Raw genomic sequence first — 23,389 nt, 5'->3', positions numbered from 1 at the left:
TAGTAGAACTCCCTTTAGCATTTCTTGTAAAACAAGTTTAATGATGGTGAACTCCTTTAAGTTTGTTTTTCTGGGAAAACCTTTATTTTTCCTTTTCTGAAGGACAGCTTTGCCAGGTAAAATATTCTCGGTTGGCAGGATTTTGTTTGTTTGTTTTTGTTTTTAATTCTGGCACTTCAAATACATTATCCTACTCTCTCCTGGCCTGCAAGGTTTCTACTGAGAAATCTGTTGACACCTTTGGGAATTTTCTTGTATGTGATGAGCCTCTCTTGCTGCTTTAAAATTTTCTCCCTTTGCATTTGGTTTTTGATGATTTGATAATAATGTATCTTGATGAAGTATGTTTTCAGTGGAAGCTGTTTAGAGACATTTGAGCTTCTTGTATTTGGATGCCTATATCTCTCCCCAGATTTGAGTAGTTTTTAACTCTTAAAAAAAAGCTATGTGTCTTTCTTTCTCTTTCTCTTCTCCTGTTTGAACTTCCATAATGCTAGATGGTACTCCATAAATCCTGTAGGCTTTATTTCTTTTCATTTTTTTTTCTTCTCTGATGGAATATTTTTAAATGAGCTGTCTTTGAGTTCACAGATTCTTTCAAATCTTTATCAGATTGATTCTTTATCAAGTCTGCTGTTAATGTTCTCTATTAAATTTTTTCATTTCATTGATTGTATTTTTCAGAATCTGTTTGTGATTATTTTGCATGATTTTAATCTTTTTATTAAATTTCTTATTTTGTTCATGTATGTTTTTCTGATTTTATTGTGTTGTCTATATATTTTTTGTAGCTTGCTGAGCTTCCCAAAAACAATTATTTTGAATTATTTTTCAGACAATTTGTAGATCTCCATTTTTTTGATCAATTAATGGGATATTATTATGTTTCTTTGATAGTGTCATGTTTCCTCAACTTTTTGTTCTTTGACATGTTGCATTACTGGCTTTGCAGTTGAAGCAATTATGTCCTCCAGTCTCTACTAACTAGTTTCAAGAGAGAAACACCTTCACCAGTCAGCCCAGCTAGGGATTCTGAGACGCTCTTAAACCTTTTTTTTACGCCTATTCCATGTCTTTTATTCGCTTTTGTTTTGGGGAGGTATTCTTAATATTTTATGCCTTTTCTCAATCCTGCAGAGTTGAGCTGGCTATCTGCACAAGACACTTCTATTTGCCATCCATGGGGTCATGCTTGGGGAGTTGGCCTGGGGGAAGGTGTTGTGAATAGAGAATTTGGGGTGCCCATGGGGCTGTTTAGGGGTGTTACACAGGCAAGGCATCCCACATGGCTTGTGTGCAGGCTTTCTGAAGGAGTCATGGAGTGGTTAGTAGCATCAGGGCCTCCCTCCCCTTCCTTCTCCTAACCTCCTCAACTACTTAATTGTGCCAATCACTTCAGTATTCTGGGTGGGGCAAGAAAGAAGTGGGCTTCCTGGACAGCATCCTGCACAGCTGGGGTACCCAGGAGCTTACTCACTGCACTCTCACTTTCCATTGTGAGAGAAATTGTGGTGAGGGTATCTCTTTTGGCACTGAGCTGTGCCACCTTGGGGGAGGGGCGATAAGGGTCATCCCTCTTACCCATCCTCTTCTTAGTCTCTTCAGTGCATTTATTCTGGATCTTGTGCTCCAACTGTGTGCTAAAACTTCTCTGTTGGACTCTGGACTCCCACAGATGTATTTTCCTTTGTAGGTAGTGGTCAAATTGATGCTCCTTTAGGGGATTGATGATAGAAAACTTCTATTCCACCATCTTGCTTATGTCACTCTGATTAATAACACTGTTGCAGCCTCTCCTACCTTGTCACAAATTCTCTGATTAATAATACTGTTGCACCCTCTCCTACCTTGTCACAAATTCTTCTCCATGGGTAACCACTATTTTGAAATTTGTGTATCATTCCCTTGCTTTAAGCAGAATGTTTAATCATATATGTATGCATCCCCAAATAATATATTGTTAGTTTTATGGTTTTTATTGACCTATAGGTCTATGGTATCATATGTTGTATAGTCCTCTGTGTTTTACTTCTTTTACTAAGTATACTTTTATAATTGTCCATATAGTTGCCATGTCACTCTAGTGCATTTATTTTAGTTGTTGTTTAATATTCCATTGTGTGACTATAGGCCAGAGTTTTATACATTCTCCTGCATTTATTAACTGTAGTTCTTCTAAAAAGACGACCTTTTGCTTATCTATTTGGCTACCCAGAGGAATAGTTCATAAAGTAAAGGCAGAAAAGATGTTCACATCTTTTTTTAATGTATTATTTTTCAAAATAAAGAGATGATGCACAGATAATCTCCTAAGACATCCAATTAGGTTTCATTTTATGTATTAAAATATTTCCTATTTATTTATTTGCTCATTTATAAAATTACTAATTTATGATTTTTATATATTTGATGTATTTCAATCTGTTATATCCATTATATTTTTCCCATTATTTAGATGCTTTGTTACTAAGTGTACACACATTTAGATTGTTATGTCTTCTATTAATTGACACTTTCATAATTGACACTTTTATCATAAAATATTCTCTTTGTCTCTGGATAATTTGCTTTGTTTTTATGTAACTTTGTTTAATATTAATATAGTCAGAGCAACTTTCTTATCCTTAGTACTTGTCTGCTATATGTTTTTTATCTGTTTTACTTTTAGCCTATTTTGTCTGTATAGTAAAGTATATTTCTTATAAACAAACAACAATTGGGTCTCCCATTTATTAATAAAAAGATTATTCTAGATTGATAACCCGTGCCTTTTACATGGAGTATTTAGTCCATTTATGTTTAATGTAAGTATTGATGTAATTGGGCTAAATATACCACCTTGCTTTTTGTTTTCTATTCTTTCGTTTTATTGTTCTTTTCTTCTCCGTAAATATTTTGCCATCATTCTATGTATTATGTTTTCTGTAGTTGCTGTAGGGAATTATAATATACATCATTAATTTACCATGGTCCACTTAGGATAATGTTACTTTATGACAATGCAAGAAACTTAAAAAGTTAAGTTCATTATTTCTTTCCCATCCTTTGAGCTCTTGGCATATTATGTTACAAATTCTAAAATATATTATTGTGTTAGATATTCAGTTGTCTTTTAAAAAATTTACACATGTACTCACACACACTAAATATATATACTTTTAAACTTACTGAATGAGTTCCACTTTCTGATGCTTTCTTTTTAAAGAAAGAGCTCAGGGTTCTCTCTGGTATTGTTTTCCTTAACCTAAACAAATGCCCTTTAGTATTTTTATATTTCATGTTTCCTGATGATGAGTCTTCCCAGCTTTGTTTATCAGAAATATCTTTACTTCCCCTTTGCTTTTGAAGGATGTTTTCTCTGCATAGAGAATTCTGTGTTGGCTTTTTTCTTTCAATAATTAAAAAATGTCATCCCACTATCTTTTTGCATCCATTGTTTCTGGTGAGAAGTATCTGTAGTGGTCTCTTTGTATGTAATGTATCTTTTTTTCCCATGTGTTTTTAATATTTCATATTTGCTTTCCAGCAGTTTTACTATGGTGTCCTTAAATGTGATAGTATTTGCATTATCCATTTTGGAGTTTTCTGAGGTTATTGGGTTGTTAGGTGTGGAAAATTCTTAGCTATTATATTTTCAGTTATTTATTCTGGCGTGTTCTCTCTTTTACTTCTAGGGCTGCGGTTATATGCATTCGATATTGTTCTACAGACATTGGATACCACATTCCTATTTATTCATTCTTTTCCTCTTTGTATTTCAGTTTGGATAATTTCTCATGACTATATCAAGTTCAATGATCCTTTTGTTTGCTGTCTTTTGCTTGCTCTAAAGCCCACTGAATGCATTTTCACTTGTGATACTTTTTCATTTTGTGTATTTCTTTTTGATTTATTTTAATAGGTTTTCTATGTTGGAGTTTCCCATCTTTTAGGAATATTTTTTTCACTTACATAAATTATTTTTCATTTAAAAACCTTATCTGATAATTCCAACATCTGGGCTATTAGTAGTCTACTTCTGTTGCCTGTTCCTTCTCTTGTTTCCCAGTCACACTATTTCTTACTTTTTCATATGTCTTATAATTATTGATTGTATACTAAACATTATATTTGAAAACAGAAGAGACTGCAGAAGATATTTGCCTCTGAAAAAGGGTACAGTCTTTCTTATTCCATGCATCTAGTATGACAAATTGAGTGTATATATATATATACACACATACACAGACACACACACACATTTTTATATAGATGCTTTATACATATAAACATATATAAATGTTTTATACATATAAAACATTTCAGCCCTTTATACATATAAAACATTTATATATGTATTTTTGTTTTTATAGGTCCAGGGTGTGTGTGTGCAGGTTTGTTACATGGATATGTCACATAATAGTGAGGTTTGGGCTTCTAGTGTATCCATCACTCAAATTGTGAACACTCTACCCAGTAGGTAATTTTTCAACCCTTATCCTCCTTTCACCCTCCACTCATTTGAAGTCCTCAGTGTCTATTATTTCCTTCTGTATGTTCATGTGTACTCATTGTATAGCTCCCATTTATGAGAGAGAACATATAGTATTTGATTTTCTGTTTTTGAGTTATTTCATTTAGGATAATGGCATTGAGCTTCATCCATGTTACTGTAAAAGGTGTGATTTTTATTATTTTTTATGGCTGCATAGTATTCCATGGTTTATATATACTACATTTTTTTGGCTTAAATAACAAGCATTATTATTTCACAGGAGAAATTCTCAAGAAAGGTGCTTCGGTGGTTGGTGGTTGGTTTATTCAGCATCAAAGACTCCATTCCTTTCCGTCTTTCTGCTCCACCATCCTCAACTCTTGACTTTGGTACTCAGGCTTGCCCCTTTATGGTCATAAGGTGGCTGCAGATGCTCCAAGTATCATAGTCTGTTCAACAAAATTCAAAAACTGGGTGAAGTAACTAACAGCTTTGCCTTGCGTTGCCTTTTCTTTTCTCTTTCTTTCTTTTTTTTTTTTTAAAGAGATTTCAGCTTTTATTTTAGATTCAGGGGGTACGTGTGCAGGTTTGTTACATGGGTATATTGTGTGACACTGATCTCATCACCCAGGTAGTGAGTGTAGTACCCAATAGGTAGTTTTTCAGCCCTTGCACCCCTCCATCAATCTTCCCTGTAGTAGTCCCTGGTGTCTATTGTTTTCATATTTATGACCATATATACCCAATGTTTAGCTCCCATTTATAGGTGTGAACATGTGGTATTTGGTTTTCTGTTTTTGTGTTAGTTTGCTTAGGATGATGACTTCCACCTACATTTATGTTGCTGCGAAGGACATATTTTCATTCTTTTTTATATTTACGTATTTTCCAGGGCGTATATGTACCACATTTTCTTTAATCCACCATTAATATGCACCTCGGTTGATTCTATGTCTTTGCTATTGTGAATAGTCCTGTGATGAACATATGAGTGCATGTGCCTTTTTTGTAGCATACTTTATTTTCCTTTGGGTATATACTTGGTAATGGGATTGCTGGGTCATGTGGTAGTTTTGTTTTTAGTTCTTTGAGAAGAAATCTCCAAACTGCTTTCCACAGTGGTTGAACTAATTTATATTCCCACCAACAGTGTATAAGTGTTCTCTTTTCTCCACAGCTTTGCCAACACCTTTTTTTTTTTTTTTTTGCCTTTTTTATAATAGCCATTCTAACTGGTGTGAGATGGTATCTCATTGTGAATTTGATTTGTGTTTCTCTGATCAGTAGCGATGTTGAACATTTTTTTTTTTGGTATGTTTGTTGGCCATTTGTATGTCTTCTTTTGAAAAGTGTTTGTTCAGGCTGGGCATGGTGGCCCACGCCTATAATCCTAGCACTTTGAGAGGCCGAGGCGGTCAGGAGTTCAAGACCAGCTTGGCCAACATGGTGAAACCCTATGTCTACTAAAAATACAAAAATTAGCTGGGCGTGGTGGTGGGTGCCTGTAGTACCAGCTACTTGGGAGGCTGAGGCATTAGAATCGCTTGAACCTGGGAGGCAGAGGCTGCAGTGAACTAATATTGCACCACTGCACTCCAGCCTGTGTGACAAAATGAGACTCCATCACACACACACACACACACACACACACACACACACACACACACACACAAAAGAAAAGAAAAAGTGTTTGTTCATGTCCTTTGCCTACTTTTTAATGGGATTTTTTGTTTTTAGTTTATTGAGTTAAGTTCCTTATAGATTCAGGATATTAGACATTTGTCAGAAACATAGTTTGCAAATATTTTCTCCCATTGTGTGGATTGTCTGTCTACTCTGTTGATGGGTTCTTTTGCTGTGCAAAAGCTCTTTAGTTTAATTGGATCCCTCTTGTCAATTTTTGTTTTTATTGCAGTTGCTTTTGAGGTCTTAGTCATATATTCTTTGCCAAGGCTGTTGTCCAGGATGGTATTTCCTAGGTTTTCTTCTAGGATTTTTATAGTTTGAGATCCACCTTGAGTTAATTTTTGTATATGGTGAAAGGTAGGGGTCCAATTTCATTCTTCTGTGTATGGCTAACCAGTTATCCCAGCACCAATTATTAAATACAGAGTCATTTCTTCATTGCTAATTTTTGTCAGCTTTGTTGAAGGTCAGATGGTTGTAGGTGTATGGCTTTATTTCTGAGTTTTCTATTCTGTTCCACTGGTCTATGTGTCTGTTTTTTTACCAGTACCATACTGTTTTGGTTATTGTAGCTTTGTAGTATAATTTAAAGTCAGATAGTGTGATGCCTCCAGCTTTCTTCTTTTTGCTTAGGATTGCCCTGTCTCTTTGGGCTCTTTTTTGTTTCCATATGCTGGCTTGAGATATTCTGATGGTAGTGTCAAGTCTTACTATTCAGCAAAGGCTGGGATCCGAGCACCAGCAAAACTCCAGATATCTCTTTATCTATTTATCTATTTATAGACCAGCTGTCAGCTTTAGGAAGGGGGAATTTCTCTCTTTCTCTTGCCTTCTGTCTTTTACAGCCTAGCTTTCAGCTTATTGGGTCACTGGGGATATTTTTACTTTCACCCACCTATGAGATCTTCCTTTGTCTTACCACTCTGGTCTCACACTTTGGTGGACAGTTGCAGTGCACTTAGGGAAGATCCAGTGTGCTTCTGAGGGATTTCTTTCAGCTCTTTTTTACTTTTCCCATTGCTTGGTGGCTGCTGCCTTGCAGTAAGTGATGGCTCTCTGCATCCAGGTTGGCTCTTCTCCTTCAGCTCTCTTGTTGTGTCCCCAGACTTCAAAATGCTGCTGCTTTTCACTTGCCAAAGAACTTATGCACCTCAGGGTGTGGATATCTTTCAGCTCTCCTGCTCTACCCTACATTTTTGGAGCTATTAGTGAAGACCTGTAGGAAAGAATTGATGAATGGATTCAGCCTTGTTTAGTGAATGGGGTTTCTTTTGATTCTGATGCATCATGGTAGCTCACATGTAGTCATTTGAAGTTTATTAAAGTTCAACTAATTTCTTGTCCTCATCTACAGCATTTATTCTTTTTCCACTGCTTCCTTAGGAATAGAAGAGACCATGGCTCTGTTTTCTCATAGGAAAGGCTTATCTTTTTTGGAATTAGGTTTATTGAGATATTTGTGCATTTTCGTTAAAAAACCCATGACTGTAGCTTATCTGGCTTGCTATTGTTATTACAGTGGGAGTGCTGGACTCTTGGAAGTTTCTTCATCCTAACTAGAAGTGGAAATTTCAGGGATCTGTTTTGGAGGCTTGTGAGACATATTAGAGGATTTAGAACCATTATTTTAGCTGGTAAAATTGTCCATCTTTTGGCACTGGAGCCCCTTTATGTTGGTTTCTGTGATCTTTGACTTTACTATCTTTGGTAATTTTCTTGTTTTTGGGTAGAACAAGATGCCTCAGACTCCTCTTGAATACATCTTTTATGAGACCCAGAGACCCAGAACCAGCCATTTCTCCAATGATCCTCCTCCTCCTTTTTTTTTTTTTAAGTAGGAAATGTGATTTTAACATAATAATCTAGTTTCCAAATTTTTACTGCAATTTTCATGTTAGCCTCTAGGCGATGATAGTATCACTGTAGTTCATGGGTCCAGCAGCAGTATTAAAAATCAAAATCAGACCGGGCGCAGTGGCTCACTCCTGTAATCCCAGCACTTTGGGAGGCCAAGGCGGGTGGATCACCTGAGGTCAGGAGTTTGAGACCAGCCTGGCCAACATGGCAAAACCCTGTCTCTACTAAAAAATACAAAAATTAACCAGGTGTGGTGGCAGGCACCTGTAATCCCAGCTCCTCAGGAGGCTGAGGCAGGAGAATGGCTTGAACCCGGGAAGCAGAGGTTGCAGTGAGCTGAGATCGCACTAGGGCACTCCAGCCTGGGTGACAGAGCAAGACTCTGTTTCAAGGAAGAAAAAAAAAATCAAAATCAAATTGAAACCTTAGCCTACAGGTTTAAAACCATACGCTTATAGATTTTTAAATAAAATTATAGCCATGTGGTTTCTTAATTTGGGATTTGTAGACCCTATGGAATCTATGTATTGGTTTTTATGGGGCATTCTGTGAATTTCCTGAGACTATATGAAACATTTTAGTCCAAGATATATCTTTTTCTCATGACCTGAGAGAGATTGGGAAGCACAGTCTTAGGTAATTTTGAATAAAACTGTAAGTTAACTTGCTGGCTAAAATAAATTAAATAAATAAATTTAACAAGTAATACAAGTTGATGTAGTTCCTTCTTTTCCTGTTATTATTTCTTAGTAATAGTGTCAAATGAAAACCTTGAAGAGTCCCAAATTGTATATTGTCTATTTGTCTTTTGTTACCTAACTCATTTGAGGTGGCCTTCCTGTATTTTGCCCCTTTCTTCTTTTATCTGCTACTTTCATCTGATAATTTTTCTAGTTGGTGGTAAGACAGCTTTTGGACAATTTCTGTATTGATATTCCTTAAATTCTACCCAGATGTAGAGAATAAAATATGAATACTATTTTCTCCTTCCTCCTTCAGAGCAGTGTGTCTTTCCCTGCCCTCAAAACTTCCCTTGATACTGTATTGAATAGAGAAAGGGATAAGCAATGACTGGTGAGCAGATTTAAGACTTTTTTCTATGGTACTTTATTTGGCCTCTAAATACTGAATGTTGTTTTTAAACTTTGCGTACAGCTTTAAAGCTGATGAAATGATTTATATTGCCTCTCCTTTGTACAGAGGAATTTATTGAGAAATAACATTGGCTCAAACTTCCTTTTCAGCTTTTAAAGAGATCAAAATGACCCCAATAAATTACTTCTAAATTTTAAGTCATTAAGAAAATTATTAATTAAATATTTAATATATGTGGCTGGCTCAGTAGTTATAGGTTAGATTTATGGTGTAGTATAACTGTCTTGCTTATGTTCTTTCTGTTTGTGGACTTTATACCACATATATAATCAATATGTATAGTGAAATATTTTACATGACATCTGCATATTTGTAGATGTTTATAACTGCATTTTGGCTTTGGTTTTTTTTTTCTGGCTCATGAAATGCACACCATGGCTTAGAGGCAAAATAAAATCTTTAATTTTATTTTGTTGGGATGTGCTTGGTGACTTACTATTTATAGGACTTTCTGGTTAAAATTGGAGACTATCTACAGTCCTAAGTGTTAGTATCAGAACCTGTTGTGCTCCTTATTTGCAGATAATTATTACTATGATCTTGTCCATATTCTCAGATTTTTGGGGCTTTGGATTTTCTTTGTTTATATCTCCTTTATTCATGTGATGATATTAGCCTGGTTTCTGCAGTGACTGTTATGGAATGAGCATGTTACTAGGAGTCACAATACTTGGATCTTAGAATCTTAGTTCTTCCAAATCACTTTTCTTGTTTGTCAGATGAGATGATAGTACTTTCCTTGCAAGATAATTCTAAAGCCCCAGATATACAGTAGTTGATTATTTAATCAGTGAGTCAGTGAGTCAGTGACCCTTTCTCCCTAAAAAAATTAAGTTTTCTATAATTGAATTTAATCTAAGTATATTTTTTCATTAATTAACAGCTTTTAAAAAGGGTTTTCTCAAGTCATCTGCCTATTGCAAGCCTCTTAACTATATTTTAACCAGCAAGTTATTAAAGTTCTAAAACTACATTCAGTGGTAAATATTTTGTCTTGTGAGGAATATAAAACTATTAAAGCTAAGCCATTTAGTTTTTCAAATGAGGAAGCTGAAGCATAGATGTCATAAGTGACTCATTTCAGGTTCTACAGCCAGAGCTGGTTCTCCTCATATGTGATCCTTCTCTCTGATGGAACAGGAATCCAGATAGAAGATTGACAAGAGCATCAACTGAACATTACAAACAGTGTTGCTTCTTTTATGGCTACTTTCCTAATGAAGTTCTCAGGTGTGGATAAATCTAATGCTTATACATATACTCTGTTTCCCAGATAAATACAATATAGTGATACAATCTTAGCAGCACCACCATAGATAAGAATACCACTTTTACTGGTGATGGTTGCCTCTGATTTTTTTTCCTCCTTCCCTGGGTTCATTTGTCCCTGATGCTCTAATTAGAGTGTTATAATTTAGGTAACTAAATTTAAATAATTTAGAACAGAAAGCAAGGTTCTGCTTTATCTCCTGTATTAACACTCAAAATGAATATTGGGTAAATTTCTACATTGAGATGTGTATTAGGGTTCTCCAGAGGGACAGAACTTATAGGATATTTATGTATATGAAAGGGAGTTTATTAGGGAGAACTGGCTTACCTGATTACAAGGTGAAGTCCCAGGATAGACCATCTGCAAGCTGGGGAAGAAAGAATCCAGTAGTGGCTCAGTCTGAGTCCGAAAGCCTCAAAACCAGGGAAGCTGACAGTGCACCCTTCAGTCTGTGGCCAAAGGCCCAAGAGCCCCCAGCAAACCAATGGTGTAAGTGCAGGAATCCAAAGGCTGAAGAACCTGAAGTATGATGTCCAAGGGCAGGAGGAGCAGGAGGAAGCATCCAGTATAGGAAAGGGAAAAGCCAGAAGACCCAGCAAACAAAGTTATCCCACCTTCTTCCCCCTGCTTTGTCTTTGCTGTGCTGGCAGCCAGTTGGATAGCACCTACCCACATTGAGGGTGGGTCTTCCTCTCCTAATCCACTGACTCAAATGTCAGTCTCCTCTGGCAGCACCCTCACAGACACACCCAGAAGAGCAAGGAAAAGAGAGTGGCTGAAGCTTTGTCAATTACACACTTCCTCTGACATGGTAGACGGGATGAAGCGTTTTCACTACTCATGTTTGTTGAAGGTTTTTTTGTTTGTTTGTTTTTTTGGTTTTAGTTTTTTTCAAAAAGGTTTTAATCTGTGAAAGTATTTGCGTTCATAAAACTGGAACCTTTCCTATTTATGGAGCTACTTATTTAGACAGTTGGGATTTTTCGTATGAGTGTGTGATTTGGTTATATCCTCAATAAAATTGGCAGTAGTGATAAAAACTAATATATGTATAAAGCACTTAGTATATGTACTATATGTCTAGCACCGTGCTCTAGATATCTGTGTTTAATCATAACTGTGATAATATTTCTCTATATTAAAAATAATTATGAAATGCTAACGCATATATCAATCACACCCTACTTTGTAAGAGATGATATCTCTAGGAGATAATTATAAAATTGGTTTTTCTTTTGGTTATTATTTATCACAGAAAAAATTGAAAAGCCTGAGTTGTTTTTGATACATTACAATAAATAACCAAAGTATGAGACAAGTTGTGGATTACAGAGAACTCTGAATATTTGGGAAACGCTAAATATGTGTCGGTGAGCTATAACCTTAAGATGTGACTGGATTAGACATCTTCACCACTTATTCCATCTCTTTATGAAGCTCCTTATGTTTTCCCCTTGTATATAATAGGTTCCAGGTTTGATAACCATAGGGACACTGTGAAGACTGAAATCATGTGTGTCCTATCACTTTTAAGGTAGCTCTCTCTTTAATTTCACAAGACAGGCTTGAAAACCAGAAGTAACCCAACTCCAAAATTGGCAGTAAATCCTTTGACAGGGAAAAGGTGACGTACTGTGTAATAAATTCCTTTGTTGAAAAAGAGATGTTGCAATACTGGAAACTGAAGTACCAAATGTTTCCTTTTAAATTTGGAAAGGCCCTTTCTTATTAGTTATCTATCCCTGTGGACTTCTAAGAGGGGATGTGTTGAAAGATTTTTCAGATGCCCACTAGCCACAGTGAGAGTGAATGGCAGCATTTATAAGATGACATAAATACTTCAAAATCATCAGTAATCCTTGGAGACGTGTGGTGTGCCAGGGGTACTGAATGTGAGCTTTTGTTGCTGTCGAGCCTGTGCTTTTGTAGGAGGCTGCCTAGGAATGTGGGTTGTGTCTCTGCTGTGAATGCAACTTCACTTTTTCCCCTCTGGGGCTCTTTGTATTAGAATTGAGGTGGGAGTGGTTTAGAAGACAAAAAGTCTGCACAGATAAGAAAGATCTGTGAGATTATGAGTTATATTTTAAAATCCTAATCTTATTTTGAGGTCCTGTGGAGCAATTATATTATTGTCCTCAACCATTAGAACACTACATTAATAACTGGACACATAAAGGTCTTTTAATTTTCATTTTGTAATAATGGGGCTCATCCCACCACTGCTGCTACTACTACATTAGATGAAGACAAAAAAGATTGAAAATAATCTAGAAATGCAATGAAGATATATCTTACATGTTAGCCAAGAATTGGTAAATTTTGATGTTTCTCTATTCTTATTGCAAAAGCTTTTCAGTTTGTTACTTTTACCTTTTGGAACTAAAACTTAATTTGACAATATGATTTTGTTGGGCTGTCACAATCCCTATATTTAATTATCTTGTTTTAAAGGCTGCATCTATCACTGGAGCTGAAGTTAAAAACAATTATAAATGTGTGATGAAGGTCAGGCAACATAAAACACCCATGGCATCTGTTCATGTTCACTCTGATCAACTCGTGTACTCAAGATACAGGGAAGTGAAGTGAATGGGGCCAAATCCCATCATGGGAAACTTTGCTTTCCCCTTTACTAACTTGCCTTAAGAGAAAGTATTGTGAACGCAGGAGTGTAATCTTAAGTCGGGCAATAAACCTGTTGGAGAATAAAAATAGGTTTTATTTTAGATACTGGGGAAAATAAAAGGAATAAATAAGAAAAGTCAAGCATGATCCACAGTCTCTAGATAATCAAGTTAAAATGTTTCCTGCCAGGCTAAGAGAAATCTTTACCATACTATTTGTTTTGTTTTGATAATGATAGGTTTACCTAGGTGGTCATTTTTACCCTATGTAAAGGCTTAGCTTGATTTGAAGCAGTAGCCTTCATTTAGAATTACAAGGCAAAGGATAAACTTTTAAATTCTATTTTAGGCTCTCTCAGTGATGATTGTTAAGCTAGCTGAGAATCACTTTAATAGAAGGAACATACAGAGAATAGGATGAGAGGCAGCAAAGTAGTAGAAAATTTTTCTTAAGATGGTTATTTTCATCATAGTAGTATTTATTAAGTGCTTACTCTATGGTCAACTCCATGCTAAATGCTTTATGTGATTTTTCTCATTTTGTCCTCAAAACAACCCTGTGAGGTAGTTGGTATCCCATTCCCCATTTTACAGCTATGGAAACTGAGCCCTAAATAACCCAAAGTCACCCTGCTGGATTCAAACATGAGTCTCACTGCAGAACAGATACTAACCCTTACCCTATAGGCCTTAAGGTAGGGGTGTGTGTGTAAGAGGGTGGGAGGGGTGAGGGAGGGAAGGAGGAGAGAAAATGAGAATGAATGAATAGAGTAAATAAAATGTGCAAGCTGTCCTCTTCTTAAAAAAGACCCTGCTTCTTGACACAGAAATATCAGATTTCTCCTATGGGTAAAGTTACAGAAGCTTTTTGTAATGTAAGCTAATGTATCCACTAGAGAAATAATGGCATTGTTGGAAGGATTTAGATGACAGGAAAATAAAGATACTTTATTAATTAACTCTTCTAGTTTCCTTGGGGTTTTGCCAACTTTTTCTGGATTCCAGACAAATTCAAAAACAGATGATTTAAAGGTGGCTTCACTGAAGTGGTGTCACATGATTGAGGGAAGTGGTCATTCTTTAGATGGATAAAAGGTGGTTTTAAAATATGCAGGACTCCATTTTTCAGACAATATGAAGTATTAAAGTATTTTTTTTTTATTCAAATGAACTAAAACGAAATTCTGTAGTTGGAAGTAATTAAATATATCCTGGGTTTCCCCCCTAAAAAAGTCAGTTAAAATAAATATTCTCAGATCAAATGATCTTTTTCGTGTATTGCTGCTAATGGCATCTGATAAATATGTGTATATGAGCTTATCAGAAATTATGTTTGAATCAACACAGAGTTGCATGTTTGAATTGGAAAAAGTAGCTAGAAGTCGTCTTCTTTCAGTGTAAAGTTTTCTGAGCCATTTTCAATCACCAGCAAAGAGCCACGTATATAGTTTAAGAATGCATTTGGTCCCATATATTCATTGACAGATGAATGAATAAAGAACATATGGTATATACATACATAGAGTATCCATTTGGGAATATGAAAAAGTTCTGGAGCTAGATGGTGCTGATGGTTGTACAACAGTGTGAATGTACTTAATGCCACTGAATTGCATACTTTAAAAATGGTTAAATGGTAATTTTATATTATTTATGATAGGAATGGATGTAGCCTTAAAAAAGAGAACTGAATTGCGTTGCTAAAGCGGCAGGTTTTTAAATTTAAACTTAAATTAGAAAACCTCGTGTAACAGATGCCTGGGAAGAGACTGGGTCTAGTCGGGCTACCTAGCAGTACCCTTTGGTTTTCAGGTCTGTCCTTTCCCTCCTGCCGTCCTCAGCAGATGGTGTTTTCTTTCTTTTTTCTTTTCTTTTCTCTTTTTTTTTAATTTTTCCCACTCAGTGGCCATGGATGGTCCTTGATGCTCATGCATGTCACCCCTCAGTCATGCTGCTGTGCCTCAGGCTTAGCTATGCAAGTGCAGGCATGGAAAGTTGGATTTAGTCAGATATGGCAGAGACATTCAACTTAATGCTCTCTGAAGATCCATATATTCCCCTATATTTCACAGGCCCCTTGTAGTTGCCTAAGAATGTGTAGCTCTTTCTGGCCAGGGACCGGAATGGTAATGATATTTGTCACTTTCAGGCTAAGGTGGTAAAACAGCCTTCTGGAACAGCAGGGTGGCCTCGTTCTTGTGGAGGGGAAGTATGTGATTCAGGTAGTGCATTTACAGGTGATGGAGTCTCCATCTGCCTAGGTTTGTTCCTTTCACCTAGGTTTGAGTGAGTGTGTGAAGCAGATCTTCAGGTGATGCAGGTATGACCTATAACATTAGTGAGAATTATATTTTAAGTCACTGAGATTTGGACGTTGTTTTTGCAGCCCAGTATAGCTATTCTGACTGTTACTCCAGGGTGGGCTTTTGCCAGGCATGTTTGATGAAGTGAGAGCAGCAGGGAGGTTTTTGGGAGTAAGGGGATGGATGTAAGTTGATGAAGCATGGAATTTTAGTTAGTTAAGAATAGAGGTGAGGACCTGAGTGGGGTGAGGAATAGTTAAAAGGCAGCAGAATTAATGGATGGCAGTTTTTGGTGAGATGGAGGGAATGTTGGAGTTGGAGTGCTCAAGGGAGGGAGCTGGAAAGATAGGAATGAGATGATTCCAATTGATGTGACTGAGGAGTTCACGTTACTGCTGAAATGGGTGTGAGTTTATCAGGTAGTGTGGATAACTGGAGGAGAGGATATCAGAATAGCAAAAGCCAAGATATCGGGAGAATCATCTAGATAAATATTAAATTCAGCAAGAATGATGACAAGGAGTAGTGTTGGGCAGAGTAAAAGTGAGCTGGGAGTTAAAATCTCTGAGAAATGAATTTGTCGTTACATGTCTGAAACGGTCTCTATTCACCCTCACTCTAGTAGAATGGTAGTTTAACTGATTCCAGGTTGGCAGTGTTTTTTTCTGTTTGCTTGTTTTTTTTGCCATAGCATCTTTAAGATATTAGTCTTGCGGCTTCTTTTGTTGCTTGGAGATATTTAGTTATCAGTTTAATTTAAAAATTTTTGAATTTTTTTGTAGGTGAATTTTTTTCCTTTTCTTTTTGGTGAGTTTTTAATATTTTCTTGTTGCCTTTGGTCCAGAGCTTCAAACTGTTACAATTAAGGATGGATTTCTATTTTTATTCCTCTTTTTTGGAACTCTGTGGATCTTCAGTTTAATAACTTAAATTCTAGAAAATTCTTATTCCTTATGCAAATATTAGTGCTTTCTTCTTTCTTTCCTCTCTTTCAAAATGCCTATTAATGCATTGGACATTATCATTTTACACTTTTGGACTCTTAACTCCTCATTTTCTTTCTCTTTATCATTCTAGGCTCTGTTTCTTTTTCTTATTGTACTACAGTTTGCTCTATTTCAGGGATAGGCAAACAATGACCTGTGGGCCAAATCTGGTTCATGGCCTGTTTTTGTATAGCTCATAAGCTAAGAATGATTTTTTAGTTTTTAAGACTTGTTGCAAAAAACATTAAGAAGATTTTATAGAAAGAAATTACATGTAGCATTCAAAGCCTAAAATATTTACTATTTGGCCTTTTACAAATTTGTTTTCAACTGCTGTCCAATTATTTTCACTTCTTGAAATAATTTTTTTGTTTTTTGCTATTGCTCATTCTTCCTTTTGGTTGTATGTATATGTGTGTTGAAGTTGGGGGTTGGAATTTTTTATTGGTAGTTCATCTTCAGTGTGGGTTTTGAAAGTTTCGGGATACCCACAAGTAGAAGACATGTATTATCTTTGAGCATGGGACATGCTGAATTCTCAGCAACAGGAAACATACTGGGAAAGAGAGAGCTGGGGCTGGAGTAAGGGTTAGGATTAATGTGAGATGACCTGGCCGTAGAGACTGGCACTCCTAGGGCCGTGGGAATGTCCAGGATTCCTGCTGCTGAATCCAGGGTTTTTATATGAATCCTTGAGGTTGGTGTGTAGAATACACAATCAGGGCATTGACATCTGGACTGGCCAGAATGACAGTTAAGTGAATACTGAGTCATCAGGCAGGGGCCTGACACTGTTGGGGAGGTCTGACAATATGTAGTAGCACCCCTGCCAACTGCTGTGTACGCTGGGCCTACCACAGAGTAGGGACTCAATAACAGCCTGGCAAGTGAATGAATGGGGAAAGAAATGAAGGTCAGGTCCATATTTTGAGGACTGGTAAGTACCAGGCAGGTATCTTCTGCCAGCCTTTGTCCTAGACTAACCAGACAGGAAGAATATGGAGAGATACCTCTAATAGTTGTTTTGTAGATCCTTTGGGATTTTCTACGTAGAAAATTATATCATCTGTGAATAGAGACAGTTTTACTTCTTCCTTTCTGTTCTTTATGCCTTTTTTCCCCTTGCCTTATTACAATGGCTGAAATCTCCAGTACATTGTTGAAGAGAAGTGATGAAAGCAGACATCATTGCCCTGTTTCTGATCCTAGGGAGAAACAATTCAGCGTTTCATCATTAAGTATGATGCAACTGTAGGTCTTTTTGCAGATGTTCTTTATTTCTGGAAATTGATAACTGAATTTAGAGGCCTAATCGGATTCAAGTACAGTTTTTTTTGGGCAGTGGACAAGACTACGTCGGTATGATTTTGTCAAGAGATACATAGTGTCTGGTATCTTTCTGTGGTATTAGCAGCCACTGATGATTGCCTCTATCAGTTATTACATTGTGGGTTACAAATGGTTATATTCCAATTCTATTAATTTCTTTTTCATTTATTATCTGGGATACTTCTGTAGAGAAAATATTCCTTCATAAATTGTTGGGTTACTCTGGTATGTAGTCCCTATTGGAAGGACAGAAACATGCTTGCTTGTTTTCTTTTATCAATTTTCAGAATAGTGAGTTGGTTTCATAGCATCCTCCAAAGGTGATTAGTGCTTTTAAAAACATAAGTTATGAATTTATTATGTGTTTTAATCCATTCATTTGTCATACTTATTGATGCTAAATTTTTCTTTTTTTAGAACTTGGTATTTTTTACTTCTAGGAATCTTGTCAGGTCTTTTATAATCCATGTTTTCTGCTAAGATGTGAGAACATACACATACTCTTACTTGGAAAAGTAAGGACAAAAAGAGGGTATAGTGAAAGTCTTATTTTTTGGTGAATAAAGAGTGGAACTGTTTGCCTTTGAATCACACTTCAGCTCTATGGCAGCATATTCTAAGAAACCTTGGAATTTTGTAGGTAAGAGCACATAAGTCAAACTTTCTTTGATTGGAACCTACAGGAGAATAAGCTTTGGTTTCATGGCTCTTTGTTAAAGATGATCAATGTCAGAGAGTATAAGTCATAATTTTAAAAGTTTCTTGGTAAAAAGATCAATCATTGGAAAGCTCTGTATATATATTCCTGTATAACAGCAGAGCAAAGTCTTTCTGACATACATTGTGTAGTTTTCATGTAATGTTAACTTCATGTGGTTTAGCTTTTTGACTTCAGGCATGTGTATATAACCTTCTGAACATTCATTTAGTTTATAATATGCCAATTTTCTAGCAGTTATTATTGTCCTAAAGTGTAACATTTCACTGTTCAACATCAAGTATGTACACAAAGGGAATTAAACTTTATGGCGTTTCATGAGCTAAGCACAATGGTTGTTCTTAGTAAGTGTCCAACGTGATTTCTTTCTGTTAGCTTTATTGTCATCTTTTTCCCGATTATAAAAACAATATTGCAAAAATTTACTGAATAGGGAATGCCACAAAGTTACACATTGACTTATGTATCTAGATCTTCCTTGAAGTGTAGGTATTCATTCACAAAGAGATATTTAGATCCTGAAGGATGTTTGCATTTACGCTTTACCAAAAATACAGGGAAGCCATTTCTGGGAAATATCTGGCAATTTCTAAAAAAAATTCATCCTTTTTTTTCTCTTTTAGAAGGCCTGTGTTTATTTTTTTACTGAATAGGTGAACAACTACTTCAGAATTCCCATTCTTCTATTGATTCTTTTTCTTTCCTCTCATTTTCCAGTCTTGCTGAATAATTTTCTTAAAACATCCATTTCCAACACTGGAGAGGAATGTAATCTTATTTCTAATTGACTATTTATAATATGACATATTTCTAATCTGCTATGACTAATGTAATAGTCAAAGGCAGTGTTTTACCTATTCAGCATATTTGTTTCTGGTTGAAGAGGGCATTTTTTTCCTTGAAGGTCCTAATGGCTCCTGTTCTTTTTATTCTATTATTTTTTATTATACTTTAAGTTTTGGGATACATGTGCAGAACGTGCAGTTTTGTTACATAGGTATACATGTGCCATGGTGGTTTGCTCCACCCATCAACCCATCACTTACATTAGGTATTTCTCCTAATACTATCCTTCCCTTTGCCCCCCACCTCCTGACAGGCCCTGGTGTGTGATGTTCCCCTCCCTGTGTCCATGTGTTCTCATTGTTCAACTCCCACTTATGAGTGAGAACATGCAGTGCTTAGTTTTCTGTTCCTGTGTTAGTTTGCTGAGAATGATGGTTTCCAGCTTCATCCACGTCCCTGCAAAGGACATGAACTCATCCGTTTTTATGGCTGCGTAGTATTCCATGGTGTATACATGCTACATTTTCTTTCTTTCTTTTTTTTTTTTTTTTTTGAGAAATCTTGTTCTTGTCCCCCAGGCTTGAGTGCAATGGCTCGATCTCAGCTCACAGCAAACTCCGCCTACCAGGTTCAAATGATTCTCTTGCCTCTCCCTCCCAAGTAGCTGGGATTAAGGCACCTGCCACTACACCTGGCTAATTTTTGTATTTTTTAGTAGAGATGGGGTTTCACCATGTTGGCCAGGCTGGTCTCAAGCTCCTGACCTCAGGTGGGTCCACCCACCTCGGCCTCCCAAAGTGTTGGGATTACAGGCGTGAGCCACTGTGCCCGGCCTATGTGCCACATTTTCTTTATCCAGTCTGTCATTGATGGACGTTTGGGTTGGTTCCAAGTCTTTGCTATTGTGAAGAGTGCTGCTAGAAACATACGGGTGCATGTGTCTTTATAGTAGAATGATTTATAATCCTTGGAATATATACCTAGTAATGGGATTGCTGGGTCAAATGGCATTTTCAGTTCTAGATCCTTGAGGAATCACCAGACTATCTTCCATAATGGTTGAACTAATTTACACTCCCACCAACAGTGTACAAGTGTTCCTGTTTCTCCACATCCTTTCCAGCATCTGTTGTTTCTTGACTTTTTAATGATTGCATTTCTATCTGGTGTGAGATGGTATCTCATTGTGGTTTTGATTTGCATTTCTCTGATGACCAGTGATGATAAGCATTTTTGCATGTTTGTTGGCTGCATAAATGTCTTCTTTTGAGAAGTGTTCTTGCATATCCTTTGCCCACTTTTTGATGGGGTTGTTTGTTTTTTTCTTGTAAATTTGTTTGAGTTCATTGTAGATTCTGGATATTAGCCCTTTGTCAGATGAGTACATTGCAAAAATTTTCTCCCATTCTGTAGGTTGCCTGTTCACTCTGATGGTAGTTTCTTTTGCTGTGCAGAAGCTCTTTAGTTTAATTAGATCCCATTTGTCAATTTTGGCTTTTGTTGCCATTGCTTTTGGTGTTTTAGACATGAAGTCCTTGCCCATGCCTATGTCCTGAAAAATTCACACTTTTATGAACTGATGGTATTTGTGGCAATGAGTGTATATTGAAAAGTACCAATGTGGTTTAACAATTACACATAATATTTTTTAGGGGGATTTTTTTTGTTAGTGCCTAACACCAGTCAACACATACTAGTTAAACAGAGAACTACGTATCATATTAATTTGTATTGGTTTGCTTTTGATTGATAAACTTTGTGTTTAGTTTCTGCTGAATCTCTTTACTAAAATTACCAGATTGCTCATGGAAGTCATTTCATCCCTCACGGAATTATTTTCCCAGCTAACTACTCTCTTAAATGATGCATAAGGGTGTTCTAATGCTATTGAAATAAGCAGGGTGTTCGGTGCTGCTTTTCCTCAACTGTTGGTTTCTTTGGATTTCTAGGATGTGGAGAGCATCTTGTGCGCACCATACTGGCTAGAGAATGTTCACATGCTTTACAAGCTGAGGATGCTCACCAAGCCCTGTTGGAGACTATGCAAAACAAGTTTATCAGTAAGTATAACATTAAGAAGATTACATCTTCTAAATATGGATTATTTCACTTCTATAAGCACTATGAGTCAGGTACTCCATTTGTATTTCTAGACCTACCTCTAGGGTCTAGCAGAGGAAAAGAACCACAGTTAATACTGATTGTGAAAAGAAATTCCACCACAGTAGATAGTACCACATGAAATCTTCCATATAACTAAGCTAATCCCCAAGCTGTAAGACACTGACAAGGCTCTCATATAGTAGAATAAATACATAACCATATGTTAATATGTTAATAAGAATTGACCAGTGGCAAAATGTGTGCTGAGAAATGAGTCATGAATAGGCATTTAAGGTCTATCTCTAGTGATTTTTCAGAAAAAGGTTGATTATATTCATGTACTATTTCCTCAAATGTATTAGAATCAGACTTAGGTTTTATTGTTATTTTGTTTTAACAATTACTGTTGTTGAATGCTGTTTTAAAAGAAAACCAAATTCATCGGCTTAATAGCATATGTGATTTACGTAATTGTTATGAGTTATTAGATGCATTCTCAGAATGTTAATGAGAAGGAATAGTAAGAGTAGAAAACTAGATGCTCATCAAAAGTTCACTACTTAGAAAGATCTCTGTAACTAAAACTATAAAACACTGATGAAACAAAATTGAAGAGGACAACAAAAAAATGGAAAAATACTTCATGTGTATGGATTGGAAGAATCAATATTGTTAAAATGTCCATAGTACCCAAAGCAGTCCAAAGATTCAATGCAATCCCTATCAAAATACAAATGACATTCTTCTGAAATAGAAAAAACAACCCTAAAATTTATGTGGACTCGCAAAAGACCCAGAATAGCCAAAGCTGTCCTAAGCAAAAAGAACAAAAATGGAGGAATCACATTATATAACTTCAGATTATATTATAGTAACCAAAATGGCATGGGACTGGCATAAAAACAGACACATAGACCAATGGAACAGAATATAGAACCCAGAAACAAATCCACACACCTACAATGAACTCACGTTCCACAAAGTTGTCAAGAACATACGCTCTGGAAAACTCTCTTCAACAAATGGTGCTGGGAAAACTGGATATCCATATGCAGAAGAATGAAACTAGACTCCTGTCTCTCACCATATACAAAAATCAAATCAAAACAGACTAAAGACTTAAATCTAAGACCCCAATCTATGAAACTACTACAAGAAAGCACTGGGGAAAATCTCTAGGACATTGGTCTGGGAAAAATTTCTTGACTAATACCCTGCAAGTGCAGGCAACCAAAGCAAAAATGGACAGAAGAGATTATATCAAGTTAAAAAGCTTCTCCATAGCAAAGGGAACAACAAAGTGAAGAGACAACCCAAAGAATGGGAGAAGATAATTTGCAAACTATCCATCTGACAAGGGATTAATAACCAGAATATATAAGGAGCCCAAACAACCCTATAGGAAAAAATCTAATAATCTGATCAAAAAATGGGCAAAAGATTTGAACAGACATTTCTCAAATGAAGACATAAAAATTGCAAACAGGCATATGAAAAAGCGCTCAACATTATTGCTTATCAGAGAAATGCAAATCAAAACTACAATGAGATGTTATCTCACCCCAGTTAAAATGACTTATATCCAAAAGATAGGCAATAGCAAACTCTGGTGAAGATGCAGAGAAAAGAGAATGCTGGTACACTGTTGGTGGGAATGTAAATTAGTACAACCACTATGGAGAACAGTTTGGAGGTTCCTCAAAAATCTAAAAATAGAGCTACCATGTGATCCAGCAATCCCACTGCTATGTATATCCCCAAAAGAAGGGAAGCAGTATATTGAAGAGATATTTGCACTCCCATGTTTGTTGTGGCAGCGTTCACAATAGCCAAGATTTGGAAGCAACCTAAGTGTCCAGCAGATGAATGAATAAAGAAAACGTGGCACATATACACAATGGAGTACTATGCAGACATAAAAAAGAATGAGATCTTGTCATTTGCAACAACATGGATGGAACTGGGGGAGATCATTATGTTAAGTGAAATAAGCCAGGCACAGAAAGACAAATATCACATGTTCTCACTTATTTGTAGGATCTAAAAATCAAAACAATTGAACTCATGGAAGGTAGTGGAGGACTTGGCGGGAGGT

The 23,389-nt window shown here is 36.3% G+C and overlaps 1 protein-coding gene across 20 annotated transcripts in view; it reads left to right on the top strand.

The window, feature by feature from the left end:
* Positions 1–23,389, top strand: part of TASP1 (taspase 1) — a 534,161-nt gene that overhangs the window by 134,455 nt on the left and 376,317 nt on the right. For all 20 annotated transcript variants that reach the window (XR_001754319.3, XR_007067463.1, NR_136629.2 and 17 more), the window contains one exon: positions 21,141–21,251. Coding sequence is in view for 14 of the 20 variants with exons in the window: in XM_047440269.1 (XP_047296225.1) it covers positions 21,141–21,251 (111 nt within the window). In the remaining 6 variants the exon portion in view is untranslated. The remainder of the gene's footprint in view (positions 1–21,140; positions 21,252–23,389) is intronic.

Source organism: Homo sapiens, chromosome 20 (assembly GCF_000001405.40).
Source record: "Homo sapiens chromosome 20, GRCh38.p14 Primary Assembly".
Taxonomy (NCBI): Eukaryota; Metazoa; Chordata; class Mammalia; order Primates; family Hominidae; genus Homo; species Homo sapiens.
This window is presented reverse-complemented; position numbering and strand designations above follow the sequence as displayed.